The sequence below is a fragment of the Homo sapiens genome, chromosome 16 (genome assembly GCF_000001405.40).
Source record: "Homo sapiens chromosome 16, GRCh38.p14 Primary Assembly".
NCBI lineage: Eukaryota > Metazoa > Chordata > Mammalia > Primates > Hominidae > Homo > Homo sapiens.
This window is the reverse complement of record NC_000016.10, coordinates 34,146,812-34,169,847: the sequence shown is the minus strand read 5'-3', so window position 1 is coordinate 34,169,847 and position 23,036 is coordinate 34,146,812. Positions and strand designations below refer to the sequence as shown.

At 49.2% G+C, this 23,036-nt stretch overlaps 1 long non-coding RNA gene, 1 other non-coding gene and 2 pseudogenes across 2 annotated transcripts, besides 1 other annotated feature; 1 reads left to right on the top strand and 3 right to left on the bottom strand.

The window, feature by feature from the left end:
* Positions 2,211-2,776: an enhancer, noted in NCBI's record as "OCT4-NANOG hESC enhancer chr16:33969539-33970104 (GRCh37/hg19 assembly coordinates)". NCBI's record gives its function as "activates a minimal SCP1, AML or CMV promoter by ChIP-STARR-seq in naive H9 embryonic stem cells {active_cell/tissue: H9 hESC(naive)}" and the evidence as "EXISTENCE:reporter gene assay evidence [ECO:0000049][PMID:30033119]".
* Positions 6,175-6,270, bottom strand: MIR9901 (microRNA 9901). The gene has a single exon (NR_162093.1). It is a non-coding gene; the product is annotated as a microRNA 9901 (primary transcript).
* RNA5-8SP2 (RNA, 5.8S ribosomal pseudogene 2) lies at positions 6,738-6,889 on the bottom strand (annotated as a pseudogene).
* On the bottom strand, positions 7,954-9,818 carry LOC110262331 (RNA, 18S ribosomal pseudogene; annotated as a pseudogene).
* On the top strand, positions 9,875-11,263 carry LINC00273 (long intergenic non-protein coding RNA 273). The gene has a single exon (XR_004837543.1). It is a non-coding gene; the product is annotated as a long intergenic non-protein coding RNA 273 (long non-coding RNA).
* Positions 11,264-23,036: the final 11,773 nt, after the last annotated feature.

Genomic DNA, 23,036 nt, shown 5'->3' with positions numbered 1-23,036 from the left:
AATGCTCCAAATATCCATTTGCAGATTCTACAAAAAGATGGTTTCCAAACTGGTCAATGAATAGAAAGGTTCAACTCTGTGAGATGAAAGCACACATCACAAAGAAGTTTCATAGAATGTTGCTTTCTAGTTTTTATGTGAAGATATTTCCTTTTTCACCATAGTTCTCAAAGCGCTCTAAATATCCATTTGCAGATTCTACAAAAAGTATGTTTCCAAACTGCTCAATCAAAAGAAAGTTTCATCTCTGTGAGATGAAATCACACATCACAAGGAAGTTTCTCAGAAATCTTCTGACTAGTTTTTATGTGAAGATATTTCCTAATTCACCATAGGCCCCAATGGGCTCACAAATATCCCTTTGCATATTCTACAAAAGGACTGCTTTGAAACTGCTCAATCATAAGAAAGGTTCAACTGCATGATATGAATGCATACATCACAAAGAAGTTTCTCAGAATGCTTCTGTGTAGTTTTTATGTGAAGATATTTCCTTTTTCACCATAGGCCTCAAAGCGCTCCAAATATCCAATTGCATATTCTACAAAAAGACTGTTTCCAAACTTCTCAATCAAAAGAGTGGTTCAACTCTGTGAGATGAATGCACATATCACAAAGAAGTTTCTCAGAATGCTTCTGTCTCGTTTTTAGGTGAAGATATTTCCTTTTTCACCATAGGCCTAAAGCCACTCACAAATATCCCTTTGCAGATTTTACAAGAACAGAGTTTCCAGACTCATCACAGAATAGAAACTTTTATCTCTCTGAGATGAGTGCACATCTTGCAAAACAGCTTCTCAGAAACATTCTTTATAGTTTTTATTGAAGATATTTCCTTTTTCACCATAGGCCTCATACAGCTGACAAATATCCCTTTGCAGATTCTACAAAAAGTCTGTTTACAAACTGCTCAATCAAAAGAATGGTTCAACTCTGTGAGATAAATGCACACATCACAAAGAGGTTTCTCAAAAATCTTCTGTCCAGTTTTTATGTAAAGATATTTCCTTTCTCACCATAGGCCTCAAAGCACTCATAAATATCCTTTTGCAGATTCTACAAATAGACAGTTTTCAAACTGCTCAGCAAAAAGACTGTTTCTACTCTGTGAGATGAATGCACACATGACAGGGAAGTTTCTCAGAGAACTTCTGTCTATTTATTATGTGAAGGTATTTCCTTTTTCACCAAAGGCCTCAAAGTGCTCACAAATATCTCCTTGCAGATTCTACAAGAACAGAGTATCCAAACTGATTAATCAAAAGAATGCTTCACATAAAATCCCTGGAAGAAAACCTAGGCAATACCATTCAGGACATAGGCATGAGCAAGGACTTCATGTCTAAAACACCGAAAGCAATGGCAACAAATGACAAAATTGACAAATGGGATCTAATTAAACTAAGGAGCTTCTGCACAGCAAAAGAAACCACCATCAGAGTGAACAGTCATCCTACAGAAAGGGAGGAAATTTTTGCAACCTACTCATCTGACAAAGGGTTAATATCCAGAATCTACAATGAACTCAGACAAATTTACAGGAAAAAAACAAACAACCCCGTCAAAAAGTGGTTGAAGGATATGAACAGACACTTCTCAAAAGAAGACATTTATGCAGCCAATGAACAAACGAAAAAATGCTCATCATCACTGGCTATCAGAGAAATACAAATCAAAACCACAACAAGATACCATCTCACACCAGTTAGTATGGCGATCATTAAAAAGTCAGGAAACAACAGGTGCTGGAGAGGATGTGAGAAATAGGAACACTTTTACACTGTTGGTGGGACTGTAAACTAGTTCAACCATTGTGGAAGTCAGTGTGGTGATTCCTCAGGGATCTAGAACTAGAAATATCACTTGACCCAGCCTTCCCATTACTGGGTATATACCTAAAGGATTATAATTCATGCTGCTATAAAGACACATGCACACGTATGTTTATAGTGGCACTATTCACAATAGCAAAGACTTGGAACCAACCTAAATGTCCAACAATGATAGACTGGATGAAGAAAATGTGGCACATATACATCATGGAATACTATGTAGCTATAAAAAATGATGAGTTCATGTCCTTTGTAGGGGCATGGATGAAGCTGGAAACTATCATTCTCAGCAAACTATCGCAAGGACAAAAAATCAAACAAATGTTCTCACTCATAGTTGGGAATTGATCAATGAGAACACATGGACACAGGAAGTGAAACATCACACACCACACACCAGGGACTGTAGTCGGGTGGGGGGAGGGTGAGGGATAGCATTAGGAGATATACTTAATGCTAAATGATGAGTTCATGGGTGCAGCACACAAACATGGCACATGTATACATATGTAACAAACCTGCACATTGTACATATGTTCCCTAAAACTTAAAGTATAATAATAATAAAAGTAAATAAATAAATAAACCCAGAGCTCCAAAAAAAAAAAAAAAAAAAAAGGAGAATGGTTCAACTCTATGAGATGAATGCACACATCACAAATAAGTCTCTCAGAAAGCTTCTGTCTACATTTTATATGAAGATATTTCCTTTTTCACCATAGGCCTCAAAGGGCTCACGAATATCCCTTTGCAGATTCTACAAGGAAAGAGTTTCCCATCTGCTCAATGAAAAGTAACATTTACCTCTGTGAGATGAATGCACACATTACAAGGCAGTTTCTCAGAAACCTTCTGTCTAGTTTTCATGTGAGGATATTTCCTTTTTCCCCATAGGCCTCAAAGTGCTCACAAATATCCCTTTGCTGATTCTACAAAAAGGCTGTTTCCAATATGCTCAATCAATAGAAAGGTTTAGCTCTGTGAGACGAATTCACACATCACAAAGCAGTTTCTCAGAAACCTTCTTTCTAGTTTTTATGTGAAGATATTTCCTTTTTCACCATAGGCTTCAAAGCGTTCACGAATATCCTTTTGCAGATTCTACAAAAAGATTGTTACCAAACTGCTCAATCAAAAGAATGGTTCAACTCTGTGAGATGAATGCATACATAACCAGGAAGTTTCTCAGAAACTTCTGTCAAGTTTTTATGCGATGATATTTCCTTTTTCACCATAGGCCTCAAACTGCTCACAAATATCCCTTTGCAGATTCTACAAGAAAACAGTTTCCCATCTGCTCAATGAAAAGAAACGTTTACCTCTTTGAGATGAATGCACACATTACAAAGCAGTTTCTCAGAAACCTTCTGTCTAGTTTTTATGTAAAGATATTTCCTTTTTCACCATAGGCCTCAAAGTGTTCACAAATATCCCTTGGCAGATTCTCCAAAAAGACTGTTTCCAAAATGCTCAATCAATAGAAAGGTTCAACTCTGTGAGATGAATTCACACATGACAAAGCAGTTTCTCAGAAACTTTCTTTCTAGTTTTTATGTGAAGATATTTCCTTTTTCACCATAGGCTTCAAAGTGCTCACAAATATCCCTTTGCATATTCTACAAAAAGACGGTTACCAAACTGCTCAATCAAAAGAATGGTTCAACTCTCTGAGACGAATACACACATCACAAAGCAGTTTCTCATAAACCTTCTTTCTAGTTTTTATGTGAAGATATTTCCTTTTTCACCATAGGCCTCAAAGTGCTCACAAATATCCCTCTGCAGATTCTACAAAAACACCATTTCCAAGCATTTCCATCAAAAGAATGGTTTAACTCTGTTAGATGAATGCACACGTCACAAAGTAGTTTCTCAGAATGTGTCTGTCTAGTTTTTATGTGAAGATATTTCCTTTCTTACCATAGGCCTGAAAGCACTCACAAATACCACTTTGCAGATTGCACAAGAACAGAGTTTCCAGACTGATCAAAGGAATGAAACGTTTAACTTGGTGAGATGAATGCAGACATCACAAAGCAGTTTCTCACAAACCTTCTTTATAGTTTTTATGTGAAGGTATTTCCTTTTTCACCATGGCCTCAAAGGGCTCACAAATATCCCTTTGCAGATTCTACAACAACAGAATTTCCAAACTGCCCATAATTAGTTTTTAGGACCAACATCAGCATTTAGACACACTGCTTGTGGTGCAGCACACATGTATTATCCACACTGAAATTAGGAATTCAACTGAAGTTCATGTAGAGCCGAAAATGTGAATATTTGGGGGACCTCGGAGATGATCTAGCTCACTTTATTTTGTAGAAAAGAAAACAGGTTCAGGGAAAGGGCATGCATTGCCTAAGGTGATTCAGCAGCTTTGGCACAGAAACACAACACATCTAAGGTGATTCATCAAGTTTGGAGCAGAAATGCAATACAATCTCTGTTCTTTTGCTTCTCAGATCCAGAATTTTTTCACAATACTGAACTACTTATGTTTCTGATTCCTTATTTTTCTTTCTAAATTTTGCCAGTATTGTCTAACGAAGATCCTATTCTTTACCCTAAATATTTAAATTCATTACCACTATTGTCTCTTTATAAGTAAAATTACTAGTTGCTATTATAAATGATTATTCAATCATTTTTCATTTTGGGGGTGTTCAGTACAAAGTTAGTAACAAATAAACACTATCGGCCTTGGCAATCCAAGAGGAGCTCAAGTCCTCCAGGGCACATCAGGAAAAGGCTAAATGACAGCTGTGCTGCAAGTGGACAGAATACAGCTCTCATACAGACTATTGAGTATTTGATGTTCTTCAACAATTTCATTAATCTTCAGTTTTTTTCCTCCTTGAAGTGAAAGTCTGCTATGACTTTCAAGTTTCTTTTGAAATAATTATAGATTCACAGGAAGTTGCAAAAGGTACAGGGATGTCTTAGGTACTCTTCACTAATTCCAGTGGTGACATCTCACATAGCCATAGAGCATTATCAAAACCTGGAAACTGACATAGGTACAATTCAGAAAGCTTACTCAGATCGCAACCGTTTTGCATGCATTCATTTTTGTATGTGTGTATGTGTGTGCGTTTGTTCTGTTCATTTTTATGTGGTGTAGATCTCTGTAACTACCACTTCGACAGTCAAGATGCAGAACAGTAGCCTCACCACCAGGCTCCAACTTGCGATCTTTGCTGACACTCTGACACGTTTTCCTCCACCCCTTCCCCTTGGCAATCCCATAGCCTGTTCTCCATCTTTACAATTTTATTTCAATAGTTTATATAAATGTAATTGTACAAAATCGTATTTTTAAAGGGAAAAAACAAGTCACAGATAGTTTTGTTAGCACTGTAAAATAGTCTTTAACATTCATTTGTTTTATGTTCTATTTGTCTCAAAAAAATGTGCTTTGTTCTTTCCCATACTTTCTGATATCAGGATAGGAAATCAATACCAAACAAAACATTTCCATTCATTTCTTTCCACGGCTTGGTTTTCACTGTTGTTGCCTAACATTTGTTGTTCCATTTACTCTTTTTCTCTGTTTTCCATCACATAAAAGTAACTTTGTGCTCTTTTTCTCTTCTAAGAAAACTTGGTAATGAGCCTTTAATGTGACGCCTGGACCATCCTTGTTTTGATTTTGTGTTATGGGTGTTCTTTTGTGTGATCGTTCTTATGGGGGAGTCCTTGTGAAGCTGGGCTTTTCCAGTGGTTTGTCAAAATGGAAATAGATATTTAACAAACCAAACACAAAATGACCTTGCTCCAGGAATGCATCATTTCTGAGAAAACACTACCTCTTCCAGCTAGAGATTGTGAATATTACTCATATTATCCTTTACTCCCTTTTATTAAAACTGTATTTTTTTTTACACATTTGTATACCTTGGGTAATGAAATGTGAAACTAAGTGATTGCCTACCAATTACAATTGATGTTAATGATGCTACTGGGAGGCCACCCCTACAGTCGCTGCGCCGAGTTTAGGGACTTGCTAGCTTTGCTAAGTTACATGGGATTGCCTACGTACTAAATGGAGGTGGGGGACGGGTCCGAGGAAGCGGCGGCGACGCCCTTCCCCGACGTGGAAGCTACAGACCGGGCCCCAGGCACCGCGCGGCCGAGAGTCGGAGGCGGGCGCGCGATGGCGGACGACACTGCAGCATCCAGCGAGTCACCGCCAGGGGCACGTGAACCCCAGGACCGCGGCCACTAGCGCTGCCAGACGGGCCGCGTGGCGGGCTTCCGGCCCCAGACACAACCGCGACGCGCGCCGGGTAGGCGGGGGGCGGGCGGGCTAGGAGGACTGTGCCTCGGAGGGGTGTTGGGGAGGAGGGGCGCTGGAGCGATGGTGGGCCGGTCGCCGGACCGCCACCAGGGGCGGCGGCGAACCGCGGCGACCGGGACGGGCTCCCCCACCCTCTCCCTGGCGGATCCTTCCTACTTGCCTTCCTCCCCCCGGCAACAAGCCCCCACTACCCACGACGATCGACAACGACGGCACGGGACCTTCCACCCCGCCAGGGCCAACGAACCCCGCACCACGAGCTGCGTGAGGCGCGAGGGAGCCTCCGAGGGAGGAATCTGGACCGCGGTGGTGGCCACGGGAACTCGGCCCCAGCCGGCTCTCTTCCCTCTCTGTTTTCGCGGGTGGCGGTGCCGCCCTCTCTCTCTTCCTCACAGCCGGGAGTCCCCCTTCCCCATGCCACCCAATGCGTGACCACACAGGGCCTGCGGGGGGAGGGAGAAGGGGCGGGCACGGCGGCAGAGGAGGGCGGACGTCGCCGGTCTGCACTTGGGGGGACGGAGGGCCCCGGCAGGCCACGTCAGGGAACCCCCAGCCATGCACCCCGAGGAGCCCGGAGGCACCCCCGGGGACTACTGATCGGCAAGCGACGCTCAGACAGGCAAAGCCCTGGGAGGAACCCGGGCTGCAATTGCGTTCGAAGTGTCGATGATCAATCTGTCCTGCAATTCACATTAGTTCTCACAGCTAGCTGCGTTCTTCATCGACACAGAAGCCCAGTGATCCACCGCTAAAAGTCATACAAGGTGGATTTGGCAAGGGCGCTCCCAACACCAGGAGGCCCTCCTGGCACAGCACGTCCGCCAGAGGGTTTCCCTCAGGCCCGCCAGTCAGACAGCAACGAGACCAGACTCCAGAGAGGGGTAGGAAGGTTTCACAACACAGGGAGGCGGTGTCGACCACGGGGGCGGAGGGCGAACACTGACAGCACCCCACGGGCGCCCGGGGATTCCCGCCCCCACAGCACGGTGCACAGGCCATACGCGCGGCAGGCGCGCGATGGCACGACGGCCGCCGGTAAAGCCCCCACCAGCGTCAGCGGCGACTTGAAAGTGAGGCGCGGCCCCGGCTGGCCGAGGGGATGGAGTCGGCGGGGGAGGCGAGGGAGGGGCGGGCCCCTCCCGAACGGACTCCCCCGCGGGCCCACCGCACCCGACCCATGGGCGGACGGACAACCCCCCAAGGGGTCCTTAAACCTCCGCGCCAGAACGCGCTAGGTACCTGGACGGCGGGGGCGGACGAGGAGGGGGCGACAGGCGTCCGGCCCCCTACCCTCGAGACGCCCTAGCGGGAAGGCTGGAGAGAGCAAGCGGGCCAGGCCGGGCCCGGTGGCGCGGTGTGGCAGAGGCAAGGATGGCGGCAGCGGCAGCAATGGGAACCCGGCCGGCCCCAACGGGAGCCGGCGGGATGGGGCCGAGCTGGTGGGACAGGGCGGGACGACGGCTCCGGCAGGGAGGGCACCGAGACCCCCACCCCGCCATGACGCCGAGAACCATCCCCGCGCCCGCCGACTCACATGTAGGGGCCACGGCAGGGGGGCGCTCCCCGATACTCACCAGGCTGGCGAGCCATCCAGCCTGCCCCACGACACGAACACAAGGTTTCGTCCCCGCACGCGTGTCTCTCTCTCCCCCCCTCTCCCTCCCGAGTTCTCCGGCTCTCAGGGCAGGCGGGGCCATGCAACAAACAAAGGGCACGACCCCGCCCGCGCACGCGCCACACGGGGAACAGGGTCTGCCAAGGAGGAAGGACGCGGCGGCGCCGCCGTGGCTTCGCCGCCGCGGCTTCGAGGCTCTTCTCCGTTAATGATCCCTCCACAGGTTCACCTACCGAAACTGTTACGAATTTTACTTCCTCTAGATAGTCAAGTTCGACTGTCTTCTCAGCGTTCCACCAGGGCAGTGGGCTGACCCGGCGGGGCTGATCAGAGGGCCTCACTAAACCATCCTATCAGTAGTAGAGGCGGGCAGTGTGTACATAGGGCAGGGACTTCAGGCAAGCTTATGACCCGCACTTACTGGAAATTCCTCCTTCATGGGGAATAATTGCAATCCCCCATCCCCATCACGAATGAGGTTCAACAGGTTACCCGCCTCTGCCACGTAGGGTAGGCACACGCTGAGCCAGTCAGTGTAGCGCGCGTGCAGTCCCGGACATCTAAGGGCATCACAGATCTGTTATTGCTCAATTTCGGGTGGCTGAAGGCCACTTGTCCCTCTAAGAAGTTGGGGGACGCCGACCGCTCGGGGGTCACGTAACTAGTTAGCATGCCAGAGTCTCGTTGGTTATTGGAATTAACCAGACAAATCACTCCACCAACTAAGGCCATGCACCACCACCCATGGAACAGAGAAACAGCTATCAATCTGTCAATCCTGTCCCTGTCCGGCCCGGGGGATTTTTCCCATGTTGAGTCAAATTAAGCCGCAGGCTCCACTCCTGGTGGTGCCCTTCCACCAATTCCTTTAAGTTTCAGCTTTGCAACCGTACTCCCCCCGGAACCTAAAAACCCAAAGACTTTGGTTTCTTGGAAGCTGCCCAGCGGGTCATGGGAATAACACCGCCACGTTGCCAGTCGGCATCGTTTATGGTCAGAACTACCACGGTATCTGATCGTCTTCGAACCTCCGACTTTCATTCTTGATTAATGAAAACATTCTTGGCAAATGCTTTCACTCTGGTCCAAACTGCGCCGGTCCAAGAATTTCACCTCTAGCGGTGCAATACAAATGCCCCCAGCTGTCCCTCTTAATCATGGCCTCAGTTCCATAAACCAACAAAATAGAACCGCGGTCCTATTCCATTATTCCTAGCTGCGGTATCCAGGCGGCTTGGACCTGCTTTGAACACTCTAATTTTTTCAAAGTAAACGCTTTGGGCCGCGGAACACTCAGCTAAGAGCATCGAGGGGGCGCCAAGAGGCAAGGGGCGGGGACGGGCAGTGGCTCGCCTCATGGCGGACTGCCCGCCCGCTCCCAAGATCCAACTAGGAGCTTTTTAACTGCAGCAACTTTAATATACGCTATTGGAGCTGGAATTACCGCGGCTGCTGGCACTAAACTTGCCCTCCAATGGATCTTCGTTAAAGGATTTAAAGTGGACTCATTCCAATTACAGGACCTCGAAAGAGTCCTGTATTGTTATGTTTCATCACTACCTCCTCGAGTCAGGAGTGGGTAATTTGCATGCCTGCTGCCTTCCTTGAATGTGGTAGCCATTTCTCAGGCTCCCTCTCCAGAATCGAACCCTGATTCTCCTTCACCCGTGGTCACCTTGGTAGGCACAGCGACTACCATCGAAAGTTGATAGGGCAGACGTTCGAATGGGTCGTTGCTGCCACAGGGGGGCATGCGATTGGCCCGAGGCTATCTAGAGTCACCAAAGCCGGTGGCACTCGACCCCTAGGCAGGGGCCGGAGAGGGGCTGACCGGGTTGGTTTTGATCTGATAAATGCAGGCATCTTCCCCGCGAAGGGGGTCAGCACCCTTCGGCATGCATTAGCTCTAGAATTACCACAGTTTTCCAAGTAGGAGAGGAGCGAGCGACCAAAAGAACCATAACTGATTTAATGAGCCATTCGCAGTTTCACTGTACCGGCCCTGCCTACTTAGACATGTATGGCATAATCTTTGAGACAAGCATATGGTACTGGTAGGATCAACCAAGTAGGTAGAAAGCGGCCTCCAGGCCTCGCGAGGATGAGCCCGGCGTCCCAGTCGCGAGGATGGGCGCGGCAGGGCGGGCGACCCGGCTTGTGGGAGGGAGGGAGCAGCGCGGGGCGGTGGGAGGGGGGTGGTGGGGCGGCGAACCGGACATCCCATACACCCACACTACAGAACACCCCCCGATGGGCTCACCACTCCCGAACCTTCGCGCCCACGTGCGAACAGGCAGACCGCCCGACCCGTGCACGGCAGCTGCGAGGGACCGGCGGCCACTCGGGCGTGGCGGGCGCGGGGCAGCCCAGACGTTTGGGCAGCGAACCAGAGGCGGACCGCGGTGCCCGGGATCTCACCGCCAGCGGCCTCCAAGCATGAAGGCGGCCCCGCGGCTCCCCCACCGCCTCCGCCATCGCGGCCAGCCCCCGGAACCCTCTTCCCTGCGCGCGCTGCACGCCGACCCCATACCCTCCGGGCTCTCACCAGGCCCATGCGGAGCGCCGCCGACCTGGTCCGGAAGGCGCGCGCCCGGGGACAGGGACAACCGGCCAACCAGTGGCCCGTGGCAGCGCCACACAAGGCGGAGCCGGGTTTGGTCCCAGAGGGGGCCACCACAGCCTAAGCTGGTGAGCCGCTCGGGGAGAGAGGATACGCGGGCGGGGAGGGGGGCACAGACAGGCAAGGCCAGGGACCGCAAGGGCAAGGGCACCCGGGAGCCCGCAGAGGGGCGGCTCGGGAAGAAACCTCAGGCAAAGCCGGGCCACCAGGAAAACACGGCCACGGGATCCCACCGCCACAGATACGAGGGAGGTCCCGCGGCGCCCCGCCTAGGAAGCCGGACGGCCCCTGGCACCCACCGAGACCCGCCTCACGAGCCTGGGTCCCGCCATCGGGACCCCGAAGCGACCTCAGCCACAAACCCAACGCCAGGGCCACGTTGCTGGTTTCTTGTCCATCCTCCGACACTGTCAAGCTCCGGGAGACCGGCGCGCCCCCCACTTGGGATGCTTCCCATGGCCAGGCATCCCAACCCCGTGCCACGCAAACGCGGTTGTCGGCACCGGTCGCTGCTCCTCAGGGGAGCGGGTGGAGAGCCGGCTCGCAGCGGAGCGGGTCACGCGCCGGACGGAACGCCTGGCACAGCCACCGCTCGCGCAGCCTCCCAACCGCTAGGACGCCGGCCCGGCCCGGCGGGATCCTCCCCCGACTCGGAAGGGGGAGGCGCGGGCCACACAGTAGGTGACGAGCCGCCCTCGGTCCCCACCGCGGAGGACTCTCTCAAGAGAGAGTCGGTAAGAGACTCATCATTCTCTCCCGAAAGCAGTGAGGTGGATGGTGGCTTGTGTTCCGAGCTCCTGTGGTTTCAGTTGGCCGCGCGTAGAAGAGAGATTTCCAATGTTTCCAGAGAGGCGCGAGCCACAGTCATTGAACCCAGGAAGTGGAGGTTGCAGTGAGCCAAGATTATGCCATTGCACACCAGCCTGGGCGACAGAGCGAGACGCCGTCTCAAGAAAAAAATAAAATAAATAAATAAATAAATAAATATCAAGAGAAAGTATAATTCTGAAGTCATAACTGTGGAAGCTTTTTTGTCAGATACGGTTATCTTTGGGGTTAATTATTATAGCAGTTGAGTTTTAACACTTGATTTGCTTTTAAATCTGAAGCATTATATTACTAAAACATTTTTTGATTTGTGAATATGTTGTTTAATGGATTATATCTCATTTTGCAGTAGTAGTTGCAGTGCCTGAAAGATTGCCAAAAAAAATAGTGCTAGCTTTTGCTGAAAAATGTAACAATCAACTTACCAATACTGCCTTCTCTTCCGATAGCTATGTTCTCCGTAATATTTTAAGAACTCAGTTTTTCATAAGACTTGTGTTGTTTTTGATTTTTTCCCAAGTCTGGTTGATCCTTGTGTTGTTCTTTTTTAAATGTGTATTGTCTGTTCAGCTATTCTGCAGGAGTTGCATTCTTAAAAACCTTAACCATATCAAAAATTGTGTTTAAAGGAGGATTATTGAGATTGGCAAGCTTTTACTAGGAGGAGTTTAAATGCTGACGTATTTAGGAAACTCTAAATACTGAGCAACTTTATTCTAACTACAAAATAGATAGCCTTTCTTTTGTTTTTCACTTTCACTATCATTAGCACTGTGTTAATATCTTTTCTTCATCTATAACACAATTATAACGATATATAAAGCCACTCAAATAAAGCAGATATATTGTGCTTAAAAAAAAAAAGAAAAAAAAAGAAGTCATTATGTGGCACACAATGAGGTGTGACTTGAATCTAGAATCTCCAGTGAAAACCAATGAAACAGGGTCAAACCCTGTGTCTACTAAAAATAAAAAAATGAGCCAGGCGTGGTGGCGCTGAGACAGGAGAATCACTGGAACTCAGGAGGCAGAGGTTGCAGTGAGCTGAGATCATGCCACTGCACTCCAGCTGGGGTGGGGGACAGAGCAAGACTCAATCTCAGAAACAAACACACGAAGCCAATAAAGTTGTTTCACTCAACGTGTCAGGCTCAGGTCTCTTGACAGGATACATCCGGCATCCGGGGAAACGTCGAGGGGTGGGGTGGAATCTATTTTGTGGCCTCAAGGGAGGTTTTGAGAGATAGTCTTGCAAACGTGATGGCCTAAGGAAGCCCCTCTGCCCAAGAAGCCATATTCATTTGTATCCTGTAGCCACCCACGAGGGAGAATCCGGCTCTCTACAGACACCCCAACCCCCACCCCACCCCACCCCCTGCCTCGTGAAATGAGCTCTCGCTCCATCAGGCTCTATTCACACCGTCTGGTTTTGTAACCTCCAGCGTGTGTGCATGGGTTGCGGGGTGGGGTGGGGGCGGCTGTGGACAGAGAAGGGGATAAAGCGGCGGTGTCCCATGGGTGCCCGGGACGTGGGACATGAGTAGAGTGGCCAGAGCCTAGTTAACTCATCGCCTGTCAGGACGTCTCCCCTCCTGGTCCCCTCTCTGACCTACGCTCCACATCTTAGCAGTTCAGTGGGGACCTTGTGGGTGGAAGTTGCCAACCCTTTGTACTTTAGCCGACGAAGACTGGGCTCCCAAGAGTCTCCCCGGAGTCGGGGCCTTGGGCAGGTTCACAAGGATCCTGATGGCGACGGTTGGTGATGGTGATGTAAGTTGGAAGCCTCGGACCAAATCAGAGGTATCCATTTGACCTCGGTGGGACAGGTCAGCTTTGCGGAGTTCCGTGCGTCCTTCCAGAGATTCATCCAGCGCTAGCAAGCATGGTCCCGAGGATCCCAGCTCCCAGCAGAGGCAATTTTGTTCACACAGAATCCTGGGCAGGAAAGTTCTCAGCAGATTTAGGCCTCCTAGCCAAAAAGTCAAAGCCACTTCTGGGATTTTTTTTCAAAGAGCCAATGGTTCCACAATGGGCCATGGGTAGTTGTGGAAATGGAGAGACGTGTTTGCAGATACATATTTGAGACAGAACGGACAGGGCTCGGTCACAGTTCATGTAGGACACGAGCAGATGCACATTGAGAAAACCTTCCCAGCATCCTAGGTGAACAGAGGTATGATTTTTTGAGACAGTCGAGGGAGACGCAACCCCAGATTTTAGGGTTGGATCTTTATTAATATGTAGTATCTATGAGGAATCCAAGTCCAGAAATCAACTCGCCAGTTCTGTACAGCATTCTGTAGGGAGATCAAATCTGGGATGTCTAAAGTTAAGAATTCAGGCCGTGGTAATGGATTAGATTAGACGTACTTGAACTTATTTTGCAAAGAAAGAGAGGGTGGGAGATAGCGAGAGCCAGAGAGAAGGCGAGAGAGAGAGAGAGAGAGAGAGAGAGAGAGACAAAGACAGAGACAGAGAGAGACAGACAGAGAGACACAAAGATACACAAAGAGAGAAAGACAGAAAGAGAGAGAGAGACAGACAGATAAAGACACAGACAGAGAAAGACAGAGATGGACAGAGACAGAGAGAAACAGAAAGAGAGACAGACAGAGACAGACAGGCAGACAGTCAGAGAAAGAGAGTAAGACAGAAGGCAGACACACACACACACACAGAGAGACAGATGGACAGACAGAGAGAAAGAGAGAGACAGAGAGAGAGACAGACAGAGAGAAAGAGACAGAGAGAGAAAGAGACAGAGATAGACAGACAGAAACAGAGACAGAGAGAGAGAGAGAAACAGACAAGGAGAGAGAGAGACAGACAGGCAGAGAAAGACAGTAAGACAGAAGACAGACACAGAGAGAGACAGGCAGAGAGAGACAGACAGAGAGACAGAGACAGAGAAACAGACAGGCAAAGAGAAAGAGAGAAAAAAAACAGACACACAGGGAGAGAGAGACCTACAGACAGACAGGCAGAGAGAGAGACAGAGACAGCGAGACAGAGAAACAGAAATACAGACAGGCAGACAAAGAGACACACAGAGAAAGACAGAGATGGACAGAGAGAGACAGAGAGAAACAAAGAGAGAGAGACAGAGAGAGAGAGAGAGAGAGAGACCGGCAGAGAAAGAGAGTAAGACAGAAGACAGACACAGTGAGAGAGACAGGCAGAGAGAGAGACACACAGAGACAGGGAGACAGAGAGAAAGAAAGAGAGAGAGACAGAGAGACAGACAGAGAAAGACAGAGACGGACAGAGATAAACAGAAAGAGAGAGAGACAGAGACAGAGAGAAAGAGACAGAGAGAGAGAGACAGACAGGCGGAGAGAGAGACACACACACAGGCAGAGAAAGGGAGTAAGACAGAAGACAGACACAGTGAGAGAGACAGACAGAGAGAGAGAGAAATAGGCAGAGAGAGACAGAGAGAGAGAGAAGACGGAGAAAGAGAGACAGAGAGAGGAGGAGGAAGGGCGTGCTCAGGAAATAATTACACATATTTTATAACGCTTTTGATCCCATAAACGGTGGCCGAGGTGTGCTTTGAAAACAACAACAACAACAGCAACAAGAGCAGCAGCAGCAGCAAGAGCAGCAGCAGCATTCACTTACGGATTTCTAGAACATAAGATGTTCTGAAGAGTAGTAAACATCAACCGGCTCTCACTATACGTTCAGAGATTCACAAAATCGTTAGTAAACAACAGGAGAAAACCGCAGCTTACATGTCTTGGGGAAAATATACGTCTTCCTGAAAACTGGGGATTTCTACTTCATCTAAAAAGAAATACATAAGAAAAAGGAAAAACACGAACGAAACAAAACAAGCCAACAAACACGGGCCAAGGCACTGTCCCTGGAAATCTTAAGTGAGCAAAGTATTAGTTTTCAGAAAGCGTTTCTATTTTGGACAAATACTAAGAAGGCCCAGACTAGAGCTGTGACGTCATTCCTATTGTGAAACTATGCTGGCCGGAGGGCGGAGAAACTAAAACATCATGATAAAAGGTGATTGAAACCCAGCCGGGGTGAAGGTTTCCTAGGGAGGGAGGCCTGAGGAAGGAAGCGGGGTAAAAAACCCACAACTGCAGACCCGCCCGCTTGCCGACGCGGGTCAAGGGCTATGCCATCGGCCCAAGCTGCCTCTGGGGAAGTGGGACCGTGCCACCCCCATCTTCAAAAACGGTGGCCACTGAGTAAGGCCTGACGCCCACCGTTGCAAATGTCAGCCTGGCAAGAATGAGATCGCCGACAAGGGGTGGGGGAAGGGGAGAGAAGACGGAGGCACACCGGGTTGGCTCCGGAAGGTTTTCAAGCAGGGTGTTGGGAGGCGGGGGGTAGGGGGTTTGTGGGGAACCCACCTAACTGACTCACTAAACGAAGGTAAAGGGACGTGGGTAGTGGGGGGAGCCGGGGGGCGACTTGAAAATTAAACTGACCCCTCCTAAAACCCAAGTAGAAGAGTCTATGCGCATGAAAGAAACCAACACACAAAGAAAACTAAAGCGCTGATCAAAGAACGATAGGGCCCCCGCCAGGGCGGAGGTTCCCTAGGCAACGAGGGAGAGAGGGAGGGGCCTCCAGAAGGGAGAGGGAGAAATCGGTTGCCCCAGGCTCCGTGAAGTCGGCGAGACCTCCCTCCCGTGTCACCTCGACTTTCAATAACAGTGACCGCTAGGTGATGCCCGAAGACAACCGATGCCTGCAAGTGTCAGTCAGCAGGGAAAAGAATGTATGTATGTATGTATGTATGTATTTATTTATTTATTTATTTAGAGACAGAGTCTCACTCACTCTACAGCCGGGGCGGTAGTGCAGTGGCGTGATCTCGGCTCACTGCAGCCTCCGCCTCCCAGGTTCAAGTGATGCTCCCTCCTCAGCCTCTCGAGTAGCTGGCATTACAGGCGCCTGCCCCCCCGCGCCCGACTCAATTTAGTATTTTTAGTAGAGACGGGGTTTCGCCGTGTTGGCAAGGCTGGTCTCGAACTCCCAATCTCAGGTGATCCACCCGCCTCGGCCTCCCAAAGTGCTGGGATGACAGACGTGAGTCACCGAGCCTGGCCTTAACCGTGTATTTTTAAGTCAAGGAGCTGATCAGGGAAATATGAGAAGTAGGGACGCCACACGTAACAGAGAGAAAAGCTTGAAAATGCCCCTTCCATCCAAGTGGGGACCCGGCCTCGACCTCCCGAAATCATACGCCGAGTGGCGAAGCCTAGCAAGTCTCATCTGTCTAGATTCCTCTCGGCCTCTCTAAGCAGGCGCTTCTCACTTTCGTGGAAGGGGCAGGACCCTCCCCGGCACGGGGGGTCTGACAGACTGACAGAGAAAGAGACAGACATAGAAAGACAGAGATGGACAGAGAGAGACGGAGAGAAACAGACAGAAAGAGAGAGAGACAGAGACAGAGAGAGAGAGAGAAACAGACAGGGAGGGAGAGAGACAGAGAGAGAGAGACAGACAGAGACAGACAGAGAGAAACAAACAGAAAGAGAGAGAGACAGAAAAAGAGAGAGAAACAGACAGACACAAAGAGACAGAGAGAGACAGAAACAGAAAGAGAGAGAGACGGAGAGAGTGAGAGATAGAGAGAGAGAGAGAAACAGAAAGAGATGGGGAGAGAGAGACAGACAGGCAGAGAAAGAGAGTAAGACTGAAGACAGACACAGTGAGAGAGACAGGCAGAGGGAGAGAGAGACAGAGACAGAGAGAAAGAAAGAGAGAGATGGAGAAAAAGACAGAGACGGACAGAGAGAAATAGCGAGAGAGAGAGAGAGAGCGAGAGAGACAGAGTGAGAGAAACAGACAGGGAGGGAGAGAGACAGATAGAGAGAGAGAGACAGACAGGCAGAGAAAGAGAGTAAGACAGAAGATAGGCACAGAGAGAGAGAGAGAGAGAAAGAGAGAGAGAGAAAGAGAGAGAGAGAGAAAGAGAGAGAGAGACAGTCTGGGCGTGGTGGCTCACTCCTGTCATCCCAGCACTTTGGGAGGCCAAGGCGGGCGGATCACGAGGTCAGGAGATCGAGACCATCCTGGCTAACATGGTGAAATCCCGTCTCTACTAAAAATACGAAAAATTAGCCAGGCGTGGTGGTGGGCGCCTATAGTCCCAGCTACTCGGGAGGCTGAGGCAGGAGAATGGCGTGAACCTGGGAGGTGGAGCTTGCAGTGAGCCAAGATGGCGCCACTGCACTCCAGCCTGGGCGACACAGCGAGATTCCATCTGAAAAAAAAAAAAAAAAATAAGAAAGAGAGAGACAGACAGACAGAGGAAGAGACAGACAGAGACAGACAGAGAGAAACATACAAAGAGAGAGAGAGAGAAACAGAAAGGCAGGGAGGGAGAGAGAGAGAGACAGGCAGAGAAAGACAGTAAGACAGAAGACAGACACAGTGAGAGAGACAGGCAGAGAGAGACAGACAGAGGTAGAGAGAAAGAAAGAGAGACAGACATGGAGAGAGAGAGACAGAGAGAAACAGACAGAAAGAGAGACAGACAGAGAGTGAGAGAGAGAGAGAGACAGAAAGAGAGGGAGAGGGACAGACAGAGAGAGACAGACGGGTAGAGAAAGAGAGTAAGACAGAAATAGGCACAGACAGAGAGAGACAGCGAGAGAGACAGACAGAGAGACTCAGAAAAAGAAATAGAGAGACAGAGAAAAACAGAGAGAGACAGAGAGAAACAGAGACAGAGAGAGACAGAGAGAAACAGACAGAAAGAGAGAGACAGAGAGAGAGAAACAGAGAGGGAGGGAGAGAGAGAGAGACAGGCAGAGAAAGAGAGTTAGACAGAAGACAGACACCGTGAGACAGGCAGAGAGAGAGAGAAAGAAAGAGACAGACAGACAGGCAGACAGAGAAAGAGACAGATAAAGACAGAGATGGACAGACAGAGACAGAGAGAAACAGACAGAAAGAGAGAAAGTCCTAGCCCAGTAGCGATACAGTGCCTTCTCTTTCATTTTATCTTTCTTTTCTGGTCTTTTCTTTTCTTTTCTTTTCTTTTCTTTTCTTTTCTTTTCTTTTCTTTTTTTTCTTTTTTTTCTTTTTCTTTTCTTTTCTTTTTTCCTTTCTTCTTTTCTTTTCTCTTTCTTTCTTTCTTTCTTTCTTTCTTTCTTTCTTTCTTTCTTTCTTTCTTTCTTTCTTCCTTTCATTTATTTATTTGGAGACCAAGTCTCACTCTGTCGACCAAGCCTCACTCTGTCGACCAAGCTATAGTGCAGTGGAGCCATCCCGGGTCACTGAAACCTCTGCCTCCCAGGTTCAAGCTATTCTCCTGCCTCAACCTCCCGAGTAGCTGGGATTACAGGTGTCTGCCCCACCGCTCCCGACTCAGTTTTGTATTTTCAGTAGAGATTGAAAATACGAAACTGAGTCGGTTTCACCATGTTGGCTACGCTGGTCTTGAACTCCTGACCTCGTGACCCACCCACCGCGGCCTCCCAAAGTGCTGGGATGACAGACGTGGGCCACTGCCTTCAGTGTACAGTGCCATTTCTTAGAAATCACTCATGGGAACACACACTTATAGGTCATGTGTAGAGATTTTATTTATTTATTAATTTGCACGGGAAGGTGGGGGGACGGAGTTTCGTTCTTGCTGCCCAGGCTAGAGTGCAATGGCATAGGGGACTCAACGAGTCAACCTATGGCAGACAGGACACGTCATTCTGAGCATAAGGGTCGCAGCGAAAAGTGTCAGGGCCCGCGCTTTTAAAGGCTGAAATCCCCGCGGCTCAGGCCTGTCGTCCCAGCACTTGGAGGCCCAGGAGAGTGGATCACTTGAGGTCAGGAGTACAATACCAACGTGGCCAACATGGAGAAACCCCGTCTCTACTAAAAATAGAAAAATTAGCCGGCTATCGTCATGCGCGCCTGTAATCCCAGCTACCGAAGAAGAATCACTGGAACCCGGGAAGCAGAGGTTTCAGTGAGCCGAGAGAGCGCCACTGCACCGCAGCCTGGGTGAAAGAGCGAGAGAGACTCAGTCCAAAAAAAAGAAAAGAAGAAAAAAAAAGAACAGGCCCAAGTACTGCATTGTTGCTGAATGTTCCCCCGAAAGGCCAGAAACACCTTGACTCAGGTCAAGGAGGTGGTGTTTCGTTTCAGTTCTCTCTCTCTCTCTTTCCCTCTCTCCCTCTTTCTCTCCTTTTCTCTCTCTTTCTCCCCTAACTTTCATTTCTTGTTCAAACATACATGTGCAAGATCGTTACATAGGTAAACTTCTGACGGGGGTTCAGTGTGCAGATGATTTCATCACCCAGACACTCAGAGCAGTACTCGACAGTTTTCATGTTTTGTTTTGTTTTGGTTTCTCCTGAAGCTGTCTGTCCTTCCACCCCTCCTCCCTCAAGTAGGCTCCCGCGTCTCTCGTCCCCCTCGTTCTGCCCATGCAGAACTCTCATCTATAAGTTCCCACTTAGGGATGAGAACATGCGGTATTTAGCTGATTGTTGCTTTCATCTTCGGTGGTGGCGGTGAAAGAGGCAAGACACTAAATCGACCCTTAGGACGCTCCCCTCCGTCCCCACCACGCACTCCCTCCCCACACACACCTTCATTCCTGCACCCCCTCCTCAAACGCAGGAAAGGAAGAAAGACAGAAATTAAAGTAAGAGTTCAGCCTCCAAGGCAGTGGAGGTAGGGGATCTCAAAGGGTGAGCAAGCGATGGGGGTCGGGGGATGTCTTGGCTGAGCTTGCAACAATGGGGGACCGAGTTTCCAGCCCCACCACACCCCCTAATCCTCAGCCGCAGCCAGCCTCTGGGTGGGGTTGCGCATGTAAAATCTTCTGAATGGAGAGAAGCCCAAGGCAATGGAAGGCATCAGCTCCAACTCCAGGAAGGGAATAGGGCTTTGTGCATTTGAATGGGGCTTTAGAAGGCAGCGCTGCGGCTTCCAAAGCGATGCGCCTCGCCTCGCCTCGCCTCAACCAGAGTGAGACTCCGTCTCAAAATCAATCAATAATAAAAAATTTCATCAATAAATGAAAGAAGAGAGAAAGAAAGAAAGAAAGGAAGGAAGGAAGAAAGAAAGAAAGAAAGAAAGAAAGAAAGAAAGAAAGAGAAAGAAAGAAAGAAAGACTACAGCAGTCGTGGTCGTGAATCATTCCCCGGAGTCAAGCCTCAGTGGCTCAAGCCCTGCACGCCAGCACTTTGAGATGCCGGGTCAGGAAGGTTGCAACAAAATGATGAGACCCTCTCTGTGGAAAAACATTTAAAAATGAAGGCCAGGCGCAGTGGCTCACCCCTGCCATCCCAGCAATTTGGGAGGCCGAGGAGGGCGGATCACCTGAGGTCGGGAGTTCGAGACCAGCCTGACCAACATGGAGAAGCCCCTTCTCTACTAACAATACAAAATCAGCCAGACGTGGTGGCGCATGCCTGCAATCCCAGCTACTCAGGAGGCTGACGCAGGACAATAGCTTGAACCCGGGAGGCAGAGGTTGTGGTGGGCCAAGATTGCGCCATTGCACTCCAGTCTGGGCAACAAGAGCGAAACTCTGTCTCGGGGAAAAAAATAAATAAGTAAATAAAAATATCTGGGCACAATGGCACGTGCCTGTGGTCCCAGGTACTCTACTCTGGAGGCTGATGTGGAAGGATCGCTTGAGTCCAGAAGCGTCCACGCTGCAGTGAGTGAGTTATGATGGCACCACTGCCAGGGTGACAGAGTGAGACGTTGTCTCTAAATCAGTCAATCAATCAATCAGATCACTGGAAAGCGCTGTCTGTGTCTTACTTTCAAAGGGCGTCCCTTTAGGCCAAGCAGGCATGGTGCCTCACGCCAGTAATCCCAGCACTTTGGGAGGCCGAGGCGGGAGGAAAGAAGGAAGGGAGAAAGGGAGGAAAGAAGAAAGGCAGGAAGGCAGTGAGGCAGGAAAGAAAGAAAGAAAGAAAGAAAGAAAGAAAGAAAGAGAGAAAGAAAGAAATAATGGGAGAAGAAGAGAGAAGAAAAAAGAAGAAAAGAGAAGAAAAGAAAAGAAAGAAAACGGGGAGGGGCATATCTCCTTGACTGGTGACTGCCCAGGATACAGTGGGTCACAGCTGACTGAAGCCTTGACCTGTGGGGCCTCAAGTGATCTTCTCCTTATCTCAGCCTCACGAGTAGCTGCGACTACAGTCGGGTATCAGCACGCACAACTAATCTTATAATAATATTATGATTATTGAGAGAGTCTCGCTCTGTCTCAATAATTGCCATGGCATGATCTCAGCTCACTGCAACCTCAGCCTCCCTGGTTCAAGCAATCCGCCCACCTCAGTCTCCTAAGTAGTTGAGATTACAAGCCTAGGCCACCAGGCCTGGCTAATTTTTCATAGAGATGGGGTTTCGCCATGTTGGCCAGCCTGGTTTTGAACTCCTGGCCTCAAGCGATCCACCCGCCTTGGCCTCTCAAAGTGTTGGAATGACAGGTGTGAGCCACTGTGCCCGGCCCAGATAATCTTTTTAATAAATTGTAGAGAAGGGGTTTCGTCAGCCGCCGGGTGGAGGGTGGGGTGGGTTTTACTCAGACTGCATACTGTGAAAAGGGTAAATTAGTGTGGTTTGTGAACTAGATGTGGAAATTGTGTGTGTGTGTGTGTGTGTGTGTGTGTGTGAGAGAGAGACAGAGAGAGAGAGACCAATCCCACCATGAGGACCCGGAAATGGAGTTTGATTTGGGTCCCTGTCTAGTCACCTCTCTGTCTGTAGATGACTGAGGATTCCACAAATGAAGGTCAGCAGTATCTATTGAGATGTTTCTCCCTCTCATGCGTCTCATCTGTGTGGTGGAGAAAGGGAAGAAAAGAGGTTCTGATGGGAAGTTGTCTTCATGCCTGAGGAAGCTGAAGGCAGGCTGACGGGAAGGAGGGCATCCTATGTGACATTTCCATACCTGGGCACCCTTTACAATGCTGGGGCTGCCAGTCCACCCTGTACGTCAACCCACCCCCAAGAACAGCATGGTCCGGGGTGGTCCAGTCTCGTCCCATCCATCCGGCCCACCCGGGGCATCTGGTGGAAGTTTTTGCTGGAGGATTTGACACCTTGGAATACTATGCAGCCATAAAAAATGATGAGTTCATGTACTTTGTAGGGACATGGGTGAAACTGGAAACCATCATCCTCAGCAAACTATCACAAGGACAAAAGAACAAACACCACGTGTTCTCACTCATAGGTGGGAATTGAACAATGAGAACACATGGACACAGGAAGGGGAACTTCACACACCGGGGACTGTTGTGGGGTGGGGGGAGGGGGGAGGGATAGCATTAGGAGATATACCTAATGCTAAATGACGAGTTAATGGGTGCAGCACAACAACATGGCACATGTATACATATGTAACAAACCTGCACTTTGTGCACATGTACCCTAAAACTTAAACTATAATAATAATAAAATAAAACAAGAAAAAAAAAGAAAGCCTCAACGCGGCTCCCTTGGGGTCGCCGGGCGTAGCCCAGCCAGGGGAGGGTGGCGGGACGTGAAGGGGGCGGGGCATCGGCTTCAGAGCTCCTTGGAAGGTGGCAGGCAGCCGGTGGGGGACGCTGAGCCAGAGACGTCTGGCAGGATATAGATCTGGAAGCTGCGTCAGTCCTCTCCCATACTTCTCCCACGGAAAATCCCACAGCGGCGGTGGGAGCCTTGGCTGGTGGAGAAGCGGGGACAGGGGGGAGAGGGAAGGAGACCCTCGGGAGGATTTAGCACCGAAAACCCACCCAGCCAAGTTCCCTCCCACCTATCGGGTCCAAGGTACACCCTGGGAGGCGGCAAGAGAAACCTTCACCCCGTGCTTTTTGTCTTTCTCTTTATTTTTTTCATCTTTTCAATTTTACAAGAGAT